The 4,831-nt window shown below is 43.4% G+C and overlaps 1 long non-coding RNA gene across 1 annotated transcript; it reads right to left on the bottom strand.

Annotated features, from left to right (window-relative positions):
- Positions 1–552: 552 nt before the first annotated feature.
- Positions 553–2,732, bottom strand: LINC01487 (long intergenic non-protein coding RNA 1487). The gene is made up of 3 exons (NR_125399.1): positions 2,699–2,732; positions 2,052–2,199; positions 553–776 (listed from the first exon to the last, which is right to left on the bottom strand). It is a non-coding gene; the product is annotated as a long intergenic non-protein coding RNA 1487 (long non-coding RNA).
- Between the last annotated feature and the right edge of the window lie 2,099 nt (positions 2,733–4,831).

Here is a 4,831-nt window from a genome sequence, read left to right as displayed (position 1 = left end):
TACTAAGTATCACCATCTTTTCTTAAGGTTATATTATGAATCCACAAACCATGAGTTTATCTAAACCATTCTTTAACCTGTGACTCAGCATTTTAAAATAACAAATGCTTACTGAGTTTACTTCTTCTGCTAGTTAGATCAAAGCCATTCATATACTTTAACTGGTGTTTCCCAGTTTTTATTTTGTTGGATTTTGCGTGAGCCTACATCAAGGAATCTACTTTGTTTTTGGATGCCACCATAAAGTGGCTCTTCCCTCTGAATTCAAATACCTGAGCTCCCTTAGTCATCTTGAAGTAAATTCTGTTTAGCGCCCTGCAATACTCAATGTCAAACTGAGTAACACTGACCAAAGTAGATAAGAATCCTTGGTAGGTCTCTCCAAATAATTTGCCTTCTTAGGGATATCTGGTTCTAGGGTACAGTCTAAACAATGTCATTTGGTTTGGAGTCCAAGGACAAGATGGCATCTGAATTCATGGAGGCAAAGGCTGTGGTCCCTCAGTATGGACCAACATCTCAGCAGCTGCTGTTTGGATACCACGGCATTACTTTCTAGCATGATAAATTTTTATTGTCATTCTGGTGGCGCAGACAAAATATGGCATTCTTTTTTGTATAATTTTCCCTTTTGCTTAAACATCTCATGGGACATAACTACCATTTAGACAGTCCTTCTTTCCAGTTTATGGAAATAACCAGTGAAGATGAAACAGGTATATATTTTCTTGCCAAATATTGATTAAAATGGATGTTTTAGTTGAGAGAAAAAATACCTGCAAAACATAATACATTTTAGTTTATTTACAGAAATTACCTCAAAAATAAAGTTCAGAAGAATTTTATACCAGGAATCTCAACTTTTTAAAGAAGAAAGGATAGACACGAGTTGAAAAATATTCTTCACAATATTGTATGTCTGGTGAAACTTAACATTTTTAAGAAAAATGGCATGAATAAAACAATGGTATTAGTCTTCTTTTTTTTTTTGAAAAACATATACACATTTGTGATTTGGAGAGAACCAGTTTTTGGTAGACCAGTGGGCATGGGTACTTAGCAAATGCCTGTGCTATTGCTCCAACTATTCTGATTCATTCTAAGTGAGAGCCAAGCATATGGTCTGGTTTATGTGTCATGGTTCCTTCTTTTTAGCATTCACTCTCATCTATACCCTTTCCTAAGGGAGAGAAATATGCTAATGTTAAGGGAACTCACATAACTCCTTAATGTTGGTTGGCATAGGCATGATTCTACTAGAAATCATTCTGCCATGAAGGCTGAGATGAGTAGTATCAGTGCACCCAATGAAGGGCTCTGACACATTTGACAAAAGCAAATGTTCTCTCCAAATCATACATGTGAATATGTTTTTCCAAAAAAGGAGTACTAATACCATTGTTTTATTCATGCCATTTTTTCTTAAAAGTGCTAAGTTTTTCCAGACATACGATACTATGGAGAAGATTTTTCAACTCTTGTCTATTCTTTCTTCTTTAAAAAGTTGAGATTCCTGGTGTGAAATTCTCTTGAGCTTCATTTTTGAGGTAATTTCTGTAAATCAACTAAAATGTATTATGTTTTGCAGATAATTTCGTTTTCTAAGGAAACCAACAATGCATTTAATCAAAAGCAAATATTTCTTCTGCTGCTTTTTGTTGGACCCATGCAGCATAATTTGAAAAGAATGACTAGCTGTGTTAAAGAAAAAGAAAAATTATATTAATAAAATGCTCTTTTTCTACATTGGCCCCACAATGATTACGTTGTCTGGGTCAATCTGTCGGGTAATTATTACTTTATATCCTTCTCAGGATAGTTTCCATATGTTCCCTTTTGCCTCAGAGCAATATCCTAATCTGCTGGCATGCTGTTTCATCAGGAAAGCATGCTTGGCTTCTCATAGGATCAAATGCAATGATTCCTTTTCTGGGACTAATGACCGCCAAGTGTCCTGGGAACAGGCTAACTGTGGCCTGATCTGTTCAGGCCAGGCCCGTCTTAGAACCAAGCAATTATTCATTGTCCTTATGTAGTGTTCAGGCACTTACAGTTTCTCTGTTTATTCTTCTCAATATCTCTTCCCTGATTGATGCATAGGACCTCTAGCTCGGGCTTTCCTCTTAGTTTAGAAGTTGAATACCATGGAGTAAGAGGGGTGGGTGGGTGAGTTGCAGGAGACCTTAGAGGCAGTGCTAACTTTTGACAAAACAGTGAAGTAGTTGAACAGAAGAAGAGGCAATTTCTTTCTAGAATTTCCACTCTTTCTCCCTCTCTCACTCTCTCTCTCCCTCCCTCCCCCACCCTCTCTCTCTCACATGCACTCATACACACACACACTCACACACACTCATGCACACTCTCCACTCCTTTCTCTTCCTTTGCCTCCCCATGGCCTCTCCTGAATCTTCTTTTTATTCTCTACTATCTATCAGTCTATCTTATGGTTTTATTTTTTTCTTAAATATCCACTGATAATATTAAAAGTTATGATCCCTTCAGAATTATTTGCATCTTATCTAGGACTCAAGACCAAAAGCCTTAAGAACTTAATAAAAGCAAAGCAAAAAGGTTACAGAAAAAGAATTGATTTCACCCTTTTCTAGCTCCTTTGCTTTCTGCTGCTCTGCAATAGGCAGGTGGAGGAGGAAAGGAAGAAACGAAGGAGGAAGAAGAGGAGAAGGAGGAGGAGGAGGACCTGGCTCCAGCTGCCCACACTCTCCTTGGATGCTGGAGACCATGAGGTGGCAACAGTGCTAGGCGACTCTGGTGTGACCTCATAATGGCCTTGTCTTCCACTGCGTCTCCTCCCAGAGCCCAAGAGGCCCTGAGCCTGTGGCACCTAGCATTGAAATGGGGAGCAGACAGCCCAGCCCAGGTGAGCTTGGAAGAAGACCTTCGTACCTCAGATGTTGATTACAGCCTTTGGGACATTGATCAGAAGATCTGGTTAAGCTTCTGACCATGGAAATGTGAGGGAGGCAAGATGGCTGACTAGACACAGTGGGAAAGAACATCTGCCACCAAGGGACCAGGAAATCCAGAGGACTGGTGCATTCCAAACAGATCTTCAGAGAAGGCATTGAAAATAAATGGAGGGAGAACACAGATGCTGGGCTGAAGGGCAAGGAGGCTGGGAACACTAGACTGGGCTCCCACACATGGGGACTCATTCCTGGCCCCCAATAACTCCTGGGGAAAGGGTGAGTTGAGCAGGCAAGGAGCAACCTGCTCTCACCATGGACCTCTGGAAATCTGGCAGCAGGAGACCCCACATCCCTCATGGACACTTGAGTTGGCAGGGAGAGCTGCTTAGAGAGGTAGTAGGAGCAGAATTCCAGCCGGTATGGAGCTCAGAGGGTTTTGTGAAGCAATGTCTACAGCAGATCATGGCCAGAAGCACCTATCCCTCAAGGGTTGCCTTGCTTCCCTAGGATACTTTAGCCTTACATGAACTGTTGGATCAGAATATAGCAGGATGATCATGCCCATGGAATGGGGCCAATCTGACCTAAGTGCACCCCTGTCTGCTGGCCTCTTCCGGGGCCCCAGCCTGGGTGCACCTGCTTGTACTGCAGCCTTGGATGCCCAGCCAGGGTGCCTCTGAGGGAACTGCATCATAGCTCCTGCACTGGCAGACCATGCCTGACCATTGGAGATCTCCAGCAGAACAGGCCCTGCTGACCTGTGCTAGCCCACCCATCTCCCCCATACCACAGCCTCCCCCATGCATTTTGCTGGCATGCACTCGCCCACAGCTAACCCCCACATTACTTGATTGGGGGGAATGCATACTTTGCCTCCTCTTCCCCGCTGGCGCATGTGTGCATGTGCACTCCAGCATGCCACTGCTGCTGCCATGAATGGACCCTACCCTCCTACCGTGACACCATTGTCAATGGGGAATGCACAAAAGGAGACCAGCAGCCCTATTTCCTGTCCTGAGCTGCCATTGCTGCTGGTGCAATTGCATGCACAGAGAACATCAGCCCTGTGCCTGCCAAAGCCCCACCTCCACACTGACACTGCTGCTGGCCACATAGATGCTGGTAGCTCCTGTACCCCTTGCCATGCCACCACCACTACCACCACTGTGAATGCCCACACAGAGGCCAGCACCTCTGTGGCAATCAGTGCCCTGCCTCAGTCTATGAGCATGTACACCAGTGTGCTGTCACTGCTGATGGCACATTAGAATGAGGATGGATCTTGCTGCCAGTGCCCAAAAAAGTGCTTTGGATGGCACCACCTATTGGAGTGTTGTGACCAGCAGTCTGGGAACACCTTGGCCTCTCCAGGGCAGCAGGATCCTAACCTTGAGGGGGTCACAGAACAAAGCCAGGGGCCTGATACCAGCCCCTAAAAGTTAGAGTATGCATCTCAGGAGTTCCGAGCTGAGGCTTTGCTCCCTAAAATCTTCCAGAAATGAAGCCAGTTAACTGAACTTACCTTATACCATAATTAAACTCCCAAGGATGTCAAAGAGGATTAAAAAAAAAATCCAAAGGACAGCAACTTCAAAGATTGAAGGAACATCAGCCCACAAAGATGAGAAAAAAATAGCACAAGAACTTTGGCAACTCAAAAAGCTAGAGTGTCTTCTTACCTCTAAACAACTGCACTAGTTCCCTAGCAATGGTTCTTAACCAGGCTGAAATGGCTGACGTGACAGAAATATAATTCAGAATATGGATAGAAATGAAGATCATCAAAATTCAGAAGAAAGTCAAAACCCAATCCAAGAATTCTAAGGAATACAGTGAAATGATACAGGAGATGAAAGATGAAATGGTCATTTAAAGAAAGACCAAAACTAATCCGATAGAGCTGA

Source organism: Homo sapiens, chromosome 3 (genome assembly GCF_000001405.40).
Source record: "Homo sapiens chromosome 3, GRCh38.p14 Primary Assembly".
Lineage (NCBI taxonomy): Eukaryota > Metazoa > Chordata > Mammalia > Primates > Hominidae > Homo > Homo sapiens.
The sequence above is the reverse complement of the archived record's forward strand: the minus strand, read 5'-3'. Positions and strand labels throughout refer to the sequence as shown.